This window comes from Homo sapiens, chromosome 12 (genome assembly GCF_000001405.40).
Source record: "Homo sapiens chromosome 12, GRCh38.p14 Primary Assembly".
In the NCBI taxonomy this organism is placed as follows: Eukaryota; Metazoa; Chordata; class Mammalia; order Primates; family Hominidae; genus Homo; species Homo sapiens.
In genome coordinates, this window is record NC_000012.12 from 10,530,770 (window position 1) to 10,551,194 (window position 20,425).

Here is a 20,425-nt window from a genome sequence, read left to right on the forward strand (position 1 = left end):
TAGCAGGCAGCATGCATAAAATTTTGAAATGATTTTTCAAAAACAAAAACAAAAATCCAAGAGGTAATAGGTTTTTATTTTTTATTTTTAATATTGTGTATTTCCTATATACTGTTATTTTCACCTATCTTTAAAATTTTTAAATTGGTAAAAGTTAGGTGACTGTAGCTTAGCTTCTAAGGCAAAGGGAGAATCTTTAGTTCAGTAAACCTGTCACCAAAAACAAAACATTATATAATAAAAATAGGGATTGTTTTTCTCATATTTTGCATTTTTACATATCTTTAATTGTATTTCCTGTTTTAAACTGACAGTTATGAAATAATGGTCAGTTATGGTTTATATGAAATAATGGATGAGTTTGAATATATGAAATAATGGTTGAGTTATGTTTTATACAGAAAATACCAAAATGACTCTCTTATGTTTTCTAGTGACCAATTTTTAATGTCATTTTGATGGAAGCAATAATGCAAAAAAAACTTTAAAAAATTTTTGGTTTTCCAGAAGTATAGATACTGAGTCTATCATTACTTGAGGTGTTTAATAAAAAATAAGATGGTCATAATTTGGAGATGAAGGAGATGTAATGACCAAATACAATGTGGAGGCCTGGATATGATTCTAGAACAGAAGACAGACATTCATGGGAAAAATGGGTGAAAGCTGAATGACGTTTTCAGCACAGTTAACAGTAACATACCAGTATAGGATGCCTAGTTTTGACAAATGTAAGATGTATCATCTTATGGTAATGTAAGACAATAACATTAGGGGAAAGTGAAACTCACTCAAGGATCTATGGGAACCTTCTACACTATCTCTGCAAGTTTTTTAGAAACCTAAAGTTATCCCTGCAGGATTTAAAAAATACCATGAAAAGGGTAAATCTAAGAGTTATTGGCCTTACAGAGGAAGTAGAGAAACAGAAAGGAGTAGAATGTTTATTCAGAGGGATAATAACAGAACTTCCCAAACCTAGAGAAAGATATCAATATCCAAGTCCACAAAAGTTATAGAAGACCAAGCAGATTTAACCTAAGGAAGACTACGTCAAGCCATCTAATAATCAAACTCTCAAATTTCAAGGATAAAGAAAGGATCTTAAAAGCAGCAAGAGAAAAGAAACAACATACAATGGAGCTCCAATACATCTTCCAGCAGACTTTTCAGTGGAAACATTGCAGACCAGGAGACAGTGGCATGGCATATTTGAAGTGTTGAAGGGGAAAAAAAATAGGCATAAACAGTATAGCTGGTGAAAATATTCTTCAAACATGAAGGAGGAATAAAGACTTTCCAAGACAAAGAAAAGCTGAGTGATTTCATCAATACCAGACATGTCCTATAAGAAATGCTAAAGGGAGTACTTCAATCAGAAAGAAAAGGATGTTAATAAGCAATAAAGCATCTTCTGAAGGTACAAAACTCACTGGTAATAGTAAGTACACAGAACAACACACATATTATAACACTGTTACTGTGGTTTGTAAATTACTCATCTTAAGTAGAAAGAATAAAAGATGAACCAATCAAAATAATAATTACAACAACTTTTCAAGATGTAGTACAATAACACATAAAGAGAAACAACAAAGGTTAAAAAGCATGGAAATGAAGTTAAAACAGAGTTTTTATGAGTTTCCTTTTTCTTGTTAATTCATTTGTATTTGCAAGCAGTATTAAGTTGTAATCAGGTTAAAATAATGTGTTATAAGATAGTATTTGCAATTTTCATGGTAACCTCAACTCAAAAACATGCAACAGATACACACACACACACACACACAAAGCAGGCCAGGTGTTGTGGCTCACACCTGTAATCCCAGCACTTTGGGAGGTCAAGGTGGGCAGATCACCTGAGGTCAGGAGTTTGAGACCAGCCTGGCCAACATGACAAACCCCATCTCTACTGAAAATACAAAAATTAGCCAAGCATGGTGGTGCATACCTGAAATTCCAGCTACTTGGGAGGCTGAGACAGAAGAATTGCTTGAACCTGGTAGGCAGAGGTTGCAGTGAGCTGAGTTCATGCCACTCCACTCCAGCCTGGGTGACAGAGTGAGACTCCAGCTCAAAAAATAAAATAAAATAAATAAAATAAAAAGGAAATTAAATCATAACATTTGAGAAAATCACCTTCGCTAAAAGGAAGACAGGAAGGAAAGAAGGGAGAGAGACTACAAAACAATCAGAAAACAAACAACAAAATGGCAGGGGTAAGTACTTACTTATCAATAATAACATTGAATGTAAATGAACTCTCTAATCAAAAGACACGGAATGGCTAAATGGATTTAAAAAGCAAGACCCAATGATCTGTTGCCTACAAGAAAGACATTTCACCTACAAAGACACACAAAGACTGAAAATAAAGGGATGGAAACAGATATTCTATGACAATGGAAACCAGAAAAGAGCAAGAGTAGCTATACTTACATCAGACAAAATAGATTTCAAGACAAAAACTATAAAAAGAAACAAACGAGATCATTATACAATGATAAAAGGATCGATCCAGCAAGAGGATATAACACCTGTAAACATATATGCATACAATACTGGAGCACCCAGAAATACAAAGCAAATACTATTAGAACTAAAAAAAGAAGTAGAGACCATGGCAAGAATAGCTGGAGACTTCCACACTCCACTTTCAGCATGGAAAGATTATCCAGACACAAAATTAACAAAGAAACATCAGACATAATCTGCACTACAGACCAAATAGACCTAAAAGATATTTACTAACATTTCATCCAATGGCTGCAGAATACACATTCTTTTCCTCAGCGCATGGATCATTCTCAAAGGTAGACCACATGTTAGGTCAAAAAACAAGTCTCAAAACATTTAAAAAAAAACGGAAATAATAGCAAGCATCTTCTCTAACCACAACAGAATAAAATAAGAAATCAATAATGAGGCATTTTGGAAACTAAACAAACACATGGAAATGAAACAATATACTCCTGAATGACCAGTGGGTCAATGAAGAAATTAAAAAGGAAATTGAAAAAATTCTTGAAATAAATGATAATAAAAACATGATATACCAAAACCTATGGGATACAATGAAAGCAGTACAAAGAGAAAAGTTTAGAGCCATAAGTGCCTACATCAAAAAGGAGGGAAAACTTCAAATAAACAACCTAACAATGCATTTTAAAGAACTAGAAAGGTAAGAGCAATCTAAACTCAAAATTAGTGGAAGAAAAGAAATAATAAAGATCAGAGCCAAGATAAATTGAAATGAATAAAACAATACAAAATATCAATAAAACAAAAAGTTGTTTTTTAGAAGATAAAACTGACAAATTTAAGCCAGATTAACCAAGAAAATAAAAGAGAAGACCAAAATCAGAGATGAAAAAGGAGACATTGCAAGTGATACTGCAGAAATTCAAAGACTCATCAGTGGCTATTATGAGCAATTATATGCTAATAAACTAGAAAGTCTAGAAGAAATGCATAAATTCCTAAACATTTACAACCTACCAAGATTGAACCATGAAGAAATTCAAAACCTAAACAGACCAATAACAAGCAATGAGATCAAAGCCATAATAAAAATTCTACCAGCACAAAAGCTCAAGATCCTATGACTTCAGTGCTGAATTTTACCAGACATTTAAAGAAAAATTAATATCAATTCTACTAAAACTATTCTGAAAGATAGAGGAGGGGAACATACTGCCAAACTCATTTTACAAGGCCAGTATTACCCTGATACCAAAACCAAAGACATACATTAAAAAAAAACTACAGATCAATATCACCTATGAATATTGATGCAAAAATCCTCAACAAAATGTGAGCAAATTGAATTCAACAACACATTAAAAAGATTAGCCATCATGACCAAGTGGGATTTATCCCAGGGATTCAAGGATTGTACAACATATGCAAATCAATCAATGTGATAAATCATATCAACAGAATGAAGAAGAAAAACCATGTTCATTTCGATTGATGGTGAAAAATCACCTGATAAAGTTTAACTTCCTTCATGATAAAAACTGTAAAAAACTAGGTATAGCAGGAACATACCTCAACATAGTAAATCCCATGTATAATAGTCTCATAGCTAGTATCTTTATTTTTTATTTTTATTTTTATTTATTTATTTTTTTTTTGAGACAGAGTCTCGTTCTGTCGCCCAGGCTGGAGTGCAGTGGCGTGATCTCAGCTACAGCAATGAGACAAGAGAAAGAAATAGAGGGCATCCAAATTGGAAAGGAAGAAGTAAAATTATCCTTGTCTGCAGATGATATAATCTCATATTTGGAAAAAACAAAGGACTCCAAGCAAAAAAAAACTCTTAGAAGTGATAAACAAATGTAAAGTTACAGGATACAAAATGAGCAAACAAAAATCAGTAGCATTTCTACATGCCAACAGTGAACAATTTGAAATGAAAATCAAGAAAGTAATCCCATTTACAAAAGCTACAAATAAAATAAAGTACCCAGGAATTAAAGAAGTAATAGATCTCTACAATAAAAACTGTTAAAACTATAAAACATAGATGTAAGAAATTGAAGAGGATACCAAAAAATGGAAAGATATTTCATGTGCATGGGATTGGAATATTCAATGTTGTTATAATGTCTATACTCCCCAAAGCAATCTACAGATTCAATGCAATCCCTGTTAAAATATCAATGACATTCTTCACAGAAATAGAAAAAAAATTCTAAAATTTATATCGAGCTACAAAGACCCAAAATAGCCAAAACTATTCTAAGCAAACAAAAACAAAACTGGAAGAATCACATTACCTGACTTCACGTTATACTACAGAGTAACCAAAATGACATAGTACTGACATAAAAAAAAAAGACACATAGGCCAACGGAACAGAATAGAGAACCCAGAAATAAATCCACACACTTACAGTGAACTCATTTTCAACAAAGGTGCCAAGAACATACACTGGAGAAAAGACAGTCTCTTCAATAAGTGGTGCTGGGGAAACTGGATATCCATATACAGAAGAATGAAGTTAGACCCCTATCTCTTGCCATATACAAAAATAAAATCAAAATGAATTAAACACTTAAATCTAAGACCTCAAACTATGAAACTGCTCCAAAAAATTGGGGAAACTCTCCATGACATTAGACTGGGGAAAGATTTATTGAGTAATACCCCAAAAGAACAGGCACCCAAAACTAATAGGATCACATCACATTAAAAAACTTCTGCACAGCAAAGGAAACAATCACCGAAGTGAAAAGGCAACCCACAGAATGGGAGAAAACATTTACAAACTATTCACAATTAATAACCAAAACAACAAAAAGTTAGAAAGATCTGAAATTAACAGTCTAACTTTCAACCTAAAGAAACCAGAGGAAAAAAGAGAACAAACCAATTCCAAAGCAAGCAAAAGAAAAAAGAAAACAAATAACCTAAATTAGTGAAGAACTTTATGAAATTGAGATGCAAAAATCTACACAATGAATCAATGAAACCAAGTTGGGTATTTTTTGAAAAAATAAACAAGATTGATAGATTGCTAGCTAGATTAGCAAAGGAAAAAAAAAGGGAAGATCCACATAAGCGCAATCAGAAATGACAAAGATGACATTATAACTGGTTCCACAGAAATACAGAAGATCCTCAGAGAATACTATAAACAACTTTATGCACACAGATTAGAAAATCTAGAGGAAATGCATAAATTCCTGGAAATATACAATCTCCCAAGATTGAATCAGAAAGAGATTGGAAATCCTAAATAGAGTAGTGTTGAGCTCTGAAATTGAATGCATAATAAAAAAAATACCAACCAATAAAAGCCCTGGAAATAGATGGATTCAGAGTCAAATTCTACCAGATGTACAAAAACAACTGGTATCAATTGTCCTGAAATTACTACAAAAAATCAAGGAGGAGGGGCGTATTATTCCATTTTCACATTGCTGATAAGGACACACCTGAGACAGGGTAATTTATAAAGAAAAGGAGGTTTAATGGACTCAGTTCCATGTGACTGGGGAGGCCTCACAATCATGGCAAAAGGCGAAAGGCATATCTTACATGGTGACATACAAGAGAGAATTTGTGCAGGGAAACTCCCCCTTAATAAAACCATCAGATCTTGTGAGATTCATTCACTATCACGAGAACAGCACAGGAAAGACCCGCCCCCATGATTCAAATACTTCCCACCACCAGGCCCCTCCCACAACTCATGACAATTGTGGGAGCTACAATTCTAGATGAAATTTGGGTAGTGACACAGCCAAAGCATATCATTCCACCCCGGCCCCTCCCAAATCTCATGTACTCACATTTCAAAACCAATCATGCCTTCCCAACAGTCCACCAAAGTCTTAACTCATTTCAGCATTAATGCAAAAGTCCACAGTCCAAAGTCTCATCCAAGAGATGCAAGTTCCTTCCACCTATGAGCCTGTAAAATCAAAAGCAAGTTAGTTACTTTATAGATGCAATGGGGGTACAGGCATTGGGTAAATACAGCTGTTCCAAATAGGGGAAATTAGGCAAAAGAAAGGGGCTACAGTCCCCATACAAGTCTGAAATCCAGTGAGTCAGTCAAATCTTAAAGCTCCAAAATGATCTCCTTTGACTCCGTGTCTCACATCCAGGTCACACTGATGCAAGAGGTGGGTTTCCATGGTCTTGGGTAGCTCCACCCCTGTGGCTTTGCAGGGTATAGCCTCCCTCCTGCTTTCACAGGCTGGCACTGAGTGTCTGCAGCTTTTCCAGGCACACCATGCAAGCCATTGGTGGATCTACCATTCTGAGGTTTGGAGGACGGTGGCCCTTTTCTCACAGCTCCACTAGGTAGTGCCCCAGTGGAGACTCTGTGTGGGGGCTTCAATCCCACATTTCCCTTCCACACTGCCCTAGCAGAGGTTCTCCAGGAAGGTCCCTCCCCTGCAGCAAACTTCTGCTTGGACATCCAGGTGTCTCCATAGAGCCTCTGAAATCCAGGTGGAGATTCCCAAACCTTTATTCTTGACTTCTGTACACCCACAGACTCAACAGCATGTGGAAAGCTGCCAAGGCTTGGAGCTTGCACCATCTAAAGCCACGGCCTGAGCTGTACCTTGGCCCCTTTCAGCCACGGGTGGAGCAGCTGGGACACAGGCACCAAGTCTCTAGGCTGCACACAGCAGGGGGACCCTGGGCCCAGTCCATGAAACCACTTTTTCCTCCTGGGCATCCGGGCCTATGATGGGAGGGGCTGCTGCAAAGGTCTCTGACATGCCCTGGAGACATTTTCCCCTTTGTCTGGGTGATCAACATTTGGCTTCTTGTTACTTGTGTAAATTTCTGCAGCAGGCTTGAATTTCTCCTCAAAAAATGGGTTTTTCTTTTCTATTGTATTGTCAGGTTGCAAATATTCTGAACTTTTATGATCTGTTTCCCTTCTAAAACTGAATGTTTTTAACGGCACCCAAGTCACTTCTTGAATGCTTTGCTGCTTAGAAATTTCTTCTATCTGATACCCTAAATCATCTCCCTCAAGTTTAAAGTTCCACAAATCTCTAGGGCAGAGGCAACATGACACCAGTCTCTTTGTTAAAACATAGCAAGAGTCACCTTTATCTAGTTCCCAACAAGTTCCTCATCTCTATCTGAGACCACCTAAGCCTGGATGTCATTGTCCATATCATTATCAGCATTTTGGTCAAAGCCATTCAACAAGTCTCTAGAAAGTTCTAAACTTTCCTACATTTTCCTGTTTTCTTCTGAGTCCTCCAAACTTAAAAACCTCTGCCTGTTACACAGTTCCAAAGTTGCTTCCACATTTTTGGGTATCTTTACAGCAGCACCTCACTCTACTGGTACCAATTTACTATATTAGTCCATTTTCAGGCTGCTGATAAAGACATGCAGAGATTGGGTAATTTATAAAGAAAAAGAGGTTTAATGAACTCACAGTTCCATGTGGCTGGGGAGGCCTCAAAATCATGGCGAAAGGCAAAAGGCATGTTTTACGTGGCAGCAGACAAGAGATAATTTGTGCAGGGAAACTCTCCCTTATAAAACTATCAGATCTCATGAGACTTATTCACTATCACAAGAACAGCACAGGAAAGATTTGCCCCTATGATTCAATTACCTCCCACGAGGTCCATCCAGTGACACATGGGAATTGTGGGAGCTACAATTCAAGATGAGATTTGGGTGGGAACACAGCCAAACCATATCAAGGGACTTCTCCCTAACTCATTTTATAAAGCCAGAATCACCCTAATACCAAGATCTGGCAGAGACACAATGAAAAAAGAAAGCTTCAGGCCAATATCCCCGAAGGACATAAATGCAAGATCCTCAACAAAATACGAGCAAACCAAATCCAGCAGCATATCAAAAAGTTAATTCGGCACGATCAAGTGGGCTTTATTCCTGGGATGCAAAGTTGGCTCACCATAGGCAAATCAATAAATGTGATTCACCACATAAAAAGAATTAAAAGCAAAAATCACATGATCATCTTAATAGACACAGAAAACTTCAACAACATCCAGCATCCCTTCATGATAAAAACTTTCAGCAGACTAGGCACACAGGAATACATATCAAAACAATATAAGCCATCTATGACAAACCCATAGCCAACTTAATACTGAATGGACAAAACCTAGAAGCTTTTACTTTGAGAAATGGTACAAGACAAGGATGCCCACTCTTACCACTCCTATTAAACATAGTACTGAGAGTCCTAGTCTAGCAATCAGACAAGAGAAACAAATAAAAGGCATCCAAATAGGAAATAAGTCAAACTATCTCCTTTCATTGATAATATGATTCTACATTTTGAAAACCGTAAAGACTCTGCTGAAAGCTACTATAACTGATAAATGATTTTTAGCAAGGCTTCAGGACACAAAATTAATGTACAGAAATCAGCAGACTTCTATACACCAATAACATGTAAGCTAAGAGTCAAATCAAGAATACAATCCCATTTATAATAGCCACAGAGAAAATAAAATACCTAGGAATACAGCTAATTAAGGACATGAAAGATCTTTACAAGGAGAACTACAAAGAACTGCTAAAAAAAAATCAGTCATGACACAAATAGAAAAGCATCCCATGCTCATGGATTGGAAGAATCAATATCATTAAAATGGTCATACTGCCTAAAGTAATTTATAGATTCAACATTATGCCTATGAAACTACAAACATTATTTTCCACAGAATTAGAAAACGCAATTCTATAATTTATGTGAAGCCAAAAAATAGCCTGAATAATTTATAGCCCAAAGTAATTTAAAGTTCCAACATTATGCCTGTCAAACTACCAACATCATTGTCCACCGAATTAGAAAAAACAATTCTATAATTTATGTAGAGCAAAAAAAAAGCCTGAATAGCCAAAGCAATTCTAAGCAAAAAGAACAAATCCACAGACACTATCCAACTACAAACTATACTATAAGGCTACAATAATTAAAGCAGCATGGTACTAGTACAAAAACAAACATATAGACCAATGACAGAATTGAAAATTCAGAAATAAAGCCACACATCTACTACCATCTGATCTTTGATGAGGCTGACAGAACCAAACAATGGGAAAGGACTCCTTATTCAATAAATGGTGCTGGGATAACTGGCTAGCTATATGAAGAAGAATGAAACTAGACTTTATCTTTCACCATATAGAAAAATTAAGTCAAGATGGATTAAAGATTTAAATGTAAGACCTCAAGCTATAAAAATCCTAGAAGAAACCCTAGGAAATACCTTCTCAATATTGGCCTTGGCAAAGAATTTATGGTGAAGTCCCCAAAAGCAGTTCCAAAAAAGCAAAAATTGACAAGTGGGACCTAACTAAACTAATGATCACAGCAAAATAAACCATCAATAGGGTAAACAGATGATCTACAGAGTGGGAGAAAATATTTACAAACTATGCATCCAACATGGATCTAATATCCAGAATCTATAAGGAACTTAAACAAAACAATAAGCAAAAACCATATAACCCCATTAAATAGTGGGCCAAAGACATGAACAGACACTTCTCAAAAGAAGATATATATGTAACCAATGAACATATGAAAACACACTCACATCACTCATCTTCAGAGAGATGCAAATCAAAACCACAGATACCATGTCACATAATTCAGAAAGGCTGTTATTAAAAAGTCAAAAAACAACAGATGCTGCCTAGGCTATGAAGAAAAGGAAGTGCTTACACATTGTTGGTGGGAATGTAAATTAGTTCAGCCTCTGTGGAAAGCAGTTTGGAGATTTCTCAAAGAACTTAAAACAGAACTACCATTTGACTCATCTATCCTATTACTGGGTATACACCCAAAGGAATATGAATCATTGTAACAAAAAGACACACACTCATACATTCATTGCCATATTATTCACAACAGCAAACACATGAAATGAACGTGGGTGCCCATCAACGGTGAAATGAAAAAAAAAAGTGTGGTAAATATACACCATGTAATACTATGCAGCCATAAAAAAAAATTGAAATCATGTCCTTTGCAGTAACATGGTTGGAGCTGGAGGCCATAATCCTAAGCAAGTTAACACAGAAAGAGAAAACCAAATACCGCATGTTCTCACTTACAGGTGGGAGCTAAACATTGAGCACATATAGACGTAAACATAAGAATAATAAACACTGTGGACTACTAGAGGGGGAGTCAGGAAGGGGGGTGGGGGTTAAAAAACATCCTATTAGCTATTATGCAGTCTACCTGGGTTCAATATACTCATGTAATAACCCTATGTATGTACCACATTTATTAAAATAAAAGCTGAATTTTTAAAAAATAATATAAGACAAATTATTTCCTATAATCACAAAAAGGAGAAAAGCAAACAAGTAGAAAAATCATGAATATAGAAAACAGCCAATCACAGAAGAGCGTATGACCAATAAATAACAGAAAAGATACTCTGTCTACCAGTAATACTGAAAGTATTAATTAAAACAATAATAAAAGGACATCTGTACCCATTAAAATCGATAGTATCAAATATTAGGTAGGGTTTGAGGAAACAGGTGTGACTAATAATTGGCAGCATTTATAGAAGGTAAATATTTATTTATATCATCCAGTGTTTTAGAAGTGCATTTTTTGGCATAGGAATTTCTCTTCCAGATTTCTACCTTATAGAAACATTCAAACACATTCACCAAGATAAAAACATAAAAAAGGTTAATGTAGCATTATTTGTAGCAAATGCTGGGGAAAATAATATGGAAAGATACAAACAAAACTATCAACAGTTTACATTGGAGAGAGGAGGGAAATTAGATGGGGTTGTAGAGTCACTTTTTATTCAATATGCATCTATATTATTTTATTTTTCAACTATTAACATTTGTCTTATTTGTGAAAATGTTTAAACTCTGCAAGTGATCAAATAGGAATAACAGAAATTAGGCTCATTCCATCTGCAGGCACTTAATTCACTTCTCAAAGAAAAGCATGTGGAAGTAGTTATGTCATGGGCCATCTTGGTTTCAGAATGCACATCACCTGAATATCACTTTTAAAAACTTAAATGTATTGGCCTTTTCTTCACAAGGTATATAGGAGATGTGATGTGTTGCAAAGAAATCCAGCTACAGTAGAGGAAGAAGGAACACCATTAATAATTCCTGAATTATAACATTTATTTTTCCATCAAAATCAAATTTGTTTGAAACTTGAGTAAAAAATCAAAGAAGCGGCCAGGCACCATGGCTCATGCCTGTAATCCCAGCACTTTGGGAGGCTGAAGCAGGTGGATTGTTTGTGCTCAGGAGTTCATGACCAGCCTGGGCAACATGGTGAAATCCTGTCTCCACAAAAAATACAAAGATTATACAGGTGTGGTGGCACATGCCCGTAGCCCCAGCTACTCAAGAGGCTGAGGTGGGAAGATCTCTTGCACCTGGAGGTCGAGGCTGCAGTGAGCCCAAATCACATCACTCTACTCCAGCCTGGGTGACAGAGTGAGATGCTTTCTAAAAATTAAAAATAAATTAAAATCAAAGTTTTTCATCAATCTCCTTCTCATGCAGTTGAAACCCTAAGACACTAAAAATGTCTACATCAAATTATAAGCTCTCTTACACATGCAATTAGTCTCACAAATGGAGCAAAGCCAAGAAATATTTACCGGCACTAGGCACACCAAGCTGTTCATTATTTCATTTAATGAAATAATGAGATCGGAATTAGTATAATTCCTCTCACAAATAAAGAAAAATTTCTTGGTGCAGAGAGTGGCAGCCACTTTGGTTATTGTGGTATATACACAGTTGCTGTTTTTTATATTTGAGCCCTGTAGCGCCCTGTTAAGAAAGGAGAAAAAACTGAGTCCAATAGGAAAATATAAAAAATAATTTCAATATGTAAACTACTATAGTCAAGAAGAGAGTTACATATTTAGCTATTTCTCTATTTCTTTATTCATTCAACAAACATTTCTAGAGCACCACCGTAACTCCAGGACCTGGGATAGACACACACAAAAAAAGTCTATTCCTGTCCTCAAGGGCTTCACTCTGAAGAAATGCCACATCATGGAGCAAAAAAGAGTGGTTTCTAATTCAGACAAACGAGGAAAGAATTTGCTGGGTTTGATGGTTAATTGTACATGGCAATTTTAGTGGAGTAAGAGATGCCCAGGTAGGTGGTAAAACATTATTTCTGGATGTGTTTGTGAGGGTGTTTCCAGAGGAGATAAGCATTTGGATTAGAACTTGAATATATTAGGCGGAGTACGGAAGATCTGGCCTCACCAATGTGGGTGGCATCATACAAGCCATTGAGGGTCCAGATAGAATGAAACGCAAACTCACGGTAGATTCTCTCTTCTTGAGCTGGGACACATTTCTATTTTCTCTTGCCCTTGAATATCGAAGCTCCTGGTCTCAGGCCTTCAGAATTTGGGACTCATACCAGTAGTCCCCACGCCCACACACCTCCCTGCAGATTCTCAGGCATTCAGACTCTGACTGAGAGTTATACTATCAGTTCACCTGGTTCTCAGGCCTTCAGACTGGTATTGAATTACACCACCCGCTTTCCTGGGTCTCCAGCTTGCAGATGGCACATTGTGGGACTTTTCAGCTTCCATAGTCAAGTAAGCCAATTCCCATAATAAAGAAATAAATATGTAATTATATATATATTTATTTTTATGTGTGTATGTATATACATATATACACACATGTATATATGTATAAACATGTTTGTATATATTTACATGTGTGTACACGTGTGTGTCTTCTATATATGCATAAGTGTGTGTGTAAATTTACTGGTCTATATATACAAATATATATAGAGAGAGATGGGTAGAATTTATATATTTTACATATATAATTATTTGATGTGTATAAAATATATACATTTACACACACGTATACATACATGTAAATAAATGTAAATGTTTTATATATGTTTATATATGTGTGTGTATATATATTTATATAGACACACACACGTGTGTATTTGTGTATTCTCCAGGTCTGTTTCTCTAGAGAACCCTAACACACCAGGGAAAGCTATTTGGACGTGATAACATTTAAGCTGAATTGTAAAGAAGATACACATACTTTGTGAGAAGAAACCACATCCACCTTTTCGTTCATTATGTATCCAGTCACTACACAGAACCTGACACATGGTTTATGAAAGATTAAATCAATGAATGCATGAATAAATGAATGCTGTATCTAAAAATTAATGAGTAGGGTTTAACCAGATGAAGAGTAAAGGGTAATCCAGACAAAAGATATAGCATATGCAAATATAGAGGCATGAAACAGCATATCTCATGTGAGTTAACTGCAAACTTGAAGCATACAGTGCATATCAGAGAGCAAACATTTAATACAGCACAGAAAAAAGCATTCCAAATAGCAGCATAGTATAAAGAGGACCAAATTAGAAATAGAAAACCTAATTCTGAGTTTATCTCTACCATCAACAGGTGCATGAGTTTCTTAATTTATTTAGCATCTGTAAAACAAAATACTTGAACCATCTGATCTGCAACATTCTTTATAGTTCTAAAAACCTATAATTTCACGGATCAGATGCTTTAAAAATGGAAAAAAAAATACTTTACACTGAGTCCAATCCAAATCTTTTTCAAATTATCTCCTTGTAGTGTGTACTTACGTGTGTGTGATTTAGAATGCCCATTGCTGGATAGCAAGGACCTAAAGATAAATAGAATATAGCATGTATTTGATTTAGATCATGGGGCTAGCCATTGAAACTGCAAATGTCTAGGTACCCTCTCTATATTTCCAAGTCTAGAAAATGTCATTAATATCTACATTGATAACTTTTTAAAAATGTATTAAGCAACAGCCAATCATTATGTGCTAGATTGAACAAAAGATGAGAGACACTATACCCTGATTAGTCATGAAATGGTAGAAGGGGAAAAAAGTGATTTAGGAATGTGCAGGAGGAACTAATTCCAGTAGTCAAAGAAAAAATTATATTTTTAGCCAATAAAAAATAAAACGGCAATCTCAAGTATGTTAACATCAAAATGAAGAAACAGCTAAACATTACTTCTATTTAATTGAAGGAGTAAATGTGTCTGACTCTCAAAGAAAATGGAATGTTAGATAGAAATAAAACACAGTTCTCCTTGACTGTTTACTAAAGACTTTCTGCTTTGAATTTGTGGATATTTTTCCCAAATCCAGAGAAAGGCTTGGAAATGAGAATATTTCTCTGATGTCAGACTGTGATCATCTCATTAGATTTTCCCTTCACCCTTGCCTTGGGAAAGAAAAAACAAAACATTTAGAAAACATTAAACATGAGGAATAATGTTTCTGTAGAATACTTACACTTAGTTGCAAATAATCCTGATATTTACAAAAGAATGAAATACATATTTCCTGATATTACTGCAACAATACATCCAGAAGATACTGTTTGCAACTCTGTCCAAAAGCATATATGAATTACAGAGAAAGTGTTAACAATCCTTCAATCAAAGAGCTGTTATCTGAGCTAAGAGTTTTTGACTAAAAAAAAAAAATACACATACAGATTAAATAAAATTACTGAATGAATTAGTACTGTCATTAAATAGATATTATGACCCACTCAGCCCTCATGGGTATTTTGTTTATAGAAAACCTACCAGCTGTTAGAAGTGTTTGCCTCTAATTTTGAAATTATTGGTGCTGCTGCTGTAAAGATTACTTCATGGTGTAGTAAAGTAGTGGGGGCAGGGTGGAATATTCTCATTTATTTTCAAAATAACCATTACTTCTTAACATCAACAATTTTGTCTTTTCCAAAATTGCTTACAATATGCATGGGATTTCCCTTGTTTGGAACTACTAAATTGTATGATTTTTACTGTAGAAAAGAGAGCTACCAATAATAAAAGCTATTGAGTTTAAAAGTAAGAGAGGTGACTATTAGGATCCCTTCCCAGGCCATTATTCAAAGAAAGGATGTAGGAACAGAGAATATCTCTAGGAAAATAAGCAAACAGCTGGAAAATACTATATAGTACAGTCAATTGGGACCTAACCAAGATTCAACTCAAATGCTAAGGGAGAAATACCAGACTATAGCAAAAGGATATCTTTATGAAATACAGAAAGGAAGAAATTGAAAACACATTTCAGGTCCTAGAAAAATCCTCTGAAGAAAACAATCCAGTAGCAATGTGAAGGCACTCCTGATCTTCTGTCTTGACTTCATCATGCTACCCAAGTCACAGCCATAAAAGTCTACTGACTGGTCTTCCTTTAGTACAATGCCTCAAAGTATACATTCAGTAAATATGTTTAATTAACTGGATGACTCCCTCAGGAAAAAACTGAGAAACTGACCAGGCTGCAGTTGTCATGTTGATAAGATCTGCTGCTCCAAACCTCAACAAGAAAAATGTGTACTTTGAAAAAAAAAGTGTTATTTAGAAAATACTTTGTATCTATGGGGACAATTAATAGTAAGCACCCCCCCCCCCCAAATTGAATGCCTACCATATGGTAATGGCCTTACTTATACAATATGATTTAGTCCCAACAATTGAGATTTTTATCTTACTGATAATTAAGGTACTGGTCTAGTATCGCATAGCTAATTATTGCTTGAAAATAACAAAATCCAGTTCCATCTGGCTCCAAAACATACCGTGCTACACTACCTCCAATTTCTAGGGATGACAACTTGAAGTGAAGCACTGTTTCTAAGGGAAACAGGTGCTTTCTAAGAGAAGTAGGATGCCCATATGTTGGATCCGTTAAATTCTGCAAAATCCCTAACTTTTTGCAAGTAGCAAGCCAGTCTCTCTTCCGTGCTGCTCTTAATACCTTAGCACTGAAATAGCTAAGGTAATTCCTTCTTTACTGGGGATTAGAAAAATCTTATTAAGGAGCTTTTGTTTTTCTCTTAAACGACACATTGGGATGCAGTTTCAATTATACTTCTGAAGTTCTCATAGGTTTCTTAAAAGACAATGACAAAATTTCAACATTCTTACATTCAGGACATTAGTTCTCTCAGGACAAGGTGGAAATTCAGAAATATACATATACCCTCATTCCTACTATGTTCAGTAATTCTTTGTATTTGTTGACTTGCTTGGGTCTGAGGCTGAGAATAAGAATGAAAACCTTCATTTCTGTGAGGCTTTCCCACCTGTTCTTTGATGGTTCACAGAAGATAAATGTTCCCAGCACTAATTAACATCTTGAGATAACTACAGGAATGGTCATTACCCCAGAGAGGAAAGTACAGGGGCAAAGGCAAGATATGTATGTATGAGGAAAAATATACAATTTTCCAGATAATTGGGGGCACAAGTAGTACCCCACATCCCTGCCAACCCTCAGGCTTGCTGACCCAGACCTCAGACCCTGGAAACACCTCTATTTGAGGTAAACTTCAACAAGGACTTTAGAGCATGGATTCCAGAACCAAACTGCCTAGGTTTGACCCTTGACTTTGCCACTAAGCTGTGTGACTTAGCTTAGGCAAATAAGTTACTTAAATTCTTTATATCTGTGTTTCTCATTTGTGAAATAATGGCAAAATCTAACTCATAGATTAGTTTCATGAACTAAATAAGCTAATATTTATAAGGTGCTTAGGACCTTGCATATAACAAGAACTTTGTAATTTCGTGTTAAATAATGTTCAGAGGACATTCATTCTACAGATGCATTCACACTGCAGATAACCACAATGATAATTCCAAGACGATTGGAACTATGTTTTGCCCAGAAAATTGCTGAGGCCTAAGCAGAGAGGAGTATCATATACTACTGCAAACAATAGAATCCATAGCTCCAAGCCTTATACTACAGGAAATAGAATCCATAGCTCCAAGCCTTATACTACTGCAAACAATAGAATCCATAGCTCCAAGCCTTATACTACTGCAAACAATAGAATCCATAGCTCCAAGCCTAGGTAGATATGTGACCCTACATTTTTCTAAAATACAATTATTATTATTATTTTTTTTACTATTCTCATGTCTCATTTTCCAAAAACCAGAGCATTTCTCCTATTGACTACTTCAAGAAGACCAAAAGTTATAATTTGTAATTAGTTACTTGAGTTCTTTAAAATTGTTCAAGTGGAAGAATGCTCCAATGCCCACGGTTCTTTTAAAATAACTTGAAATATTGATATATTTAGTTATATCATTTAGGAATACTTTATAATGGTTATATTATGTATATAAACCACTAGTCTCCACACATAGAGTGTAGAGACTCTACATTAATTCAAAAGTAATAATACATAAATTTGTGCAAACAAATCACATTTTAAGTTTAAAAAAGCCAGTCACCAGACTGTACACAGGGTTATTTTTAATATGTTTTAAAATATATAGTTCATTAGAGGAAGGTAAATTCTGTAAGAAATAACTTAGGAATACAGAGTGTGAAGGACTATAATTTAAAATAAAGTATAATTCATTTGAAAACTTAAATTCCAAGAAGTATTTAATTTACCAAAACTTACTCCAGAAGAAACTTTTTAAAATGTTTTATAGATAGCCAGGACACAACCAATGTTTACAGACTGGCATATTTTCAGGTTGGTTGAGCCGGTGCCATACTGGCCATTAATATTTTAAAATCCTGGCCTTGCCTATAACCATCAACAAAAATGAGTCTAAAATATGCTCACAAAGTAAACAACTGCTCTGTACTGTGTTAAAAGCGAGTCATATCAACAGTTGAAAGGACAGAATAGCTTAATATTATCCCAATTCTCATAGAAGGCAAAACACAAAAGCAAGAGAGGGTTAGGTGGGAGACAGTCCATTTCATGAAACTAGAAAAACGTGTATCTGAGTGAAGAGAGAAAGTAATGTTCCTCCCTTACATTCCATCACAACACTCATAGATTTCTCATGTTTTACATTAATTTCCTAATTGGTTTTAGTTGCTATTGTTGTTATTGTTGTTGTTTAATCTTCAAATAATTTTTATCCAGAATCTGTCTTTGGCCCTTTCTCTCTTACTAATTTGTACAATCTCAATGAATGATCTCATCTATTGCCATGGCTTCATAGCATAACGGACACCCAAATTTATATATCCAAACATGATCGCTTTCCTAATCTGCATACTCATCATGTATCTGATGTTTCGAAAAAAAAACTCACAAGAATTCTCCACATGCATTGAAAACTCACTGTTCAAAGCTGAACTCCTTACTTTACTATCCATCTGCTATCAGACCCTCCGCCTTCATTTCGCATCTTGCTGAGCGGGACCATGATTCAAGTTTTCCAATGCAAAAGCCCACAAATCATCATTGATATCTGGCTCTGTATTCCCATCACCCCACAACTGACCAAATCTTTTTTTTCCCCCCTTAGAGACTGGGTCTCACTCTGCCACGCAGGCTGGAGTGCAGTGGCGTGAACTCAGCTCACTGAAGCTCAACCTCTTAGACTCAAGTGAGCCTCCCACCTCAGCCTCCAGAGTAGCTGGGACTACAGGTGCATGTCACCATGCCTGGCTGATTTTTGTATTTTTTGTAGAGATGGGGGTCCCACTATGTTGCCCAGGCTGGTCTTGAACTCCTGGACTCAAGTGATCCTCCCGCCTCAGCCTCCCAAAGTGGTTGGATGACAGGCATGAGCCACCACATCTAGCCCAATTGACCAAATCTTGATGATTCTACCTCCTTAGTGCCTCTCTACTAAAATTCTTTCCTTCCTATACCCATGATCACAATTATATTTTGCATATTTGATTTGTCTCCTGTATTACTTATGAAAGCTTAGATTCTGTAATCATTCACAACCCTGCCGGCCACTGCTGGCCACTCCCCCATGTAGGTGCAATCTCTTCACCTGGAACATTCCTTTATCTTCATCCCCATCAGAGTTATCCTAATCAAAAACAATTTTCTAATTAATCCACTTTCATTTCTGAACCAAGTGTTGAAAGAATACCCTTCTTTGACCTTCCACAACTCCACTTTTATTCCATATAGCATTTATCCAAATCTGTATACTTTCTGTCTTTCTAACTGGACTATGAGACCCTTAAGGGCACTATTTCTCTCTTTTAGCTATGCAACACTAGTATCTATTGTAATGCTTAACATATGGTCTCCTTCAAGAAACATTCATTGAATGAATGAATGAATGATTCATTCAAAAACACTGAGCATCAGTGGCATGACAGACACTATTCTAAGTGATAATGATATTTTAGTGAAGCAAATAGAAAAAAAATGTACCTCATGGAGCTTATTTGGCAATCAGTGTGTGAATAGGTAATAAGGCTGACTGGAAAACAAACTAGTCAGACGAGGAGAGGATTTCAAATGGAGATCAAGTCACATAACACTATTGCTTTCACTCTTACTTTCCTCTTCTCATAATCTTCCAAAAGTAAACTCTGGAGAAAAACATCAGAGGATTTTTCAAATCAAACAAGGAGTCGAATAATACATTATTTTGACAAGAGTTATGTGAATAGAAACCCCAAAATAAAGATCTTACAAAGCCTAAAACATATCCAAATTTATACCTTCTTTAGATCATTCGGGTCTACTGCGTCTCAGTGAATTAGGAGTGATAAGTGCATATTCCACAGGAGATACCTTCTTGTCATTCTCTTCTGAGAAATAAAGTGAAACAAAGATTGAGCCTCGGCCGGGCGCGGTGGCTCACGCCTGTAATCCCAGCACTTTGGGAGGCCGAGGCGGGTGGATCATGAGGTCAGGAGATCGAGACCATCCTGGCTAACAAGGTGAAACCCCGTCTCTACTAAAAATACAAAAAATTAGCCGGGCGCGGTGGCGGGCGCCTGTAGTCCCAGCTACTCGGGAGGCTGAGGCAGGAGAATGGCGTGAACCCGGGAGGCGGAGCTTGCAGTGAGCCGAGATCGCGCCACTGCAGTCCGCAGTCCGGCCTGGGCGACAGAGCGAGACTCCGTCTCAAAA

At 36.1% G+C, this 20,425-nt stretch overlaps 2 long non-coding RNA genes across 3 annotated transcripts in view; both read right to left on the reverse strand.

Annotated features, from left to right (window-relative positions):
• The window catches only part of LOC105369657 (uncharacterized), a 41,122-nt gene extending 34,792 nt beyond the window's left edge, over window positions 1-6,330 (reverse strand). For both annotated transcript variants that reach the window (XR_931355.4, XR_001749003.3), the window contains exon 1: window positions 6,300-6,330. This is a non-coding gene — a long non-coding RNA (uncharacterized LOC105369657). The remainder of the gene's footprint in view (window positions 1-6,299) is intronic.
• A 52-nt stretch (window positions 6,331-6,382) lies between these two features.
• On the reverse strand, window positions 6,383-20,161 carry LOC105369658 (uncharacterized). The gene is made up of 3 exons (XR_001749004.1): window positions 20,011-20,161; window positions 19,718-19,878; window positions 6,383-6,421 (listed from the first exon to the last, which is right to left on the reverse strand). It is a non-coding gene; the product is annotated as an uncharacterized LOC105369658 (long non-coding RNA).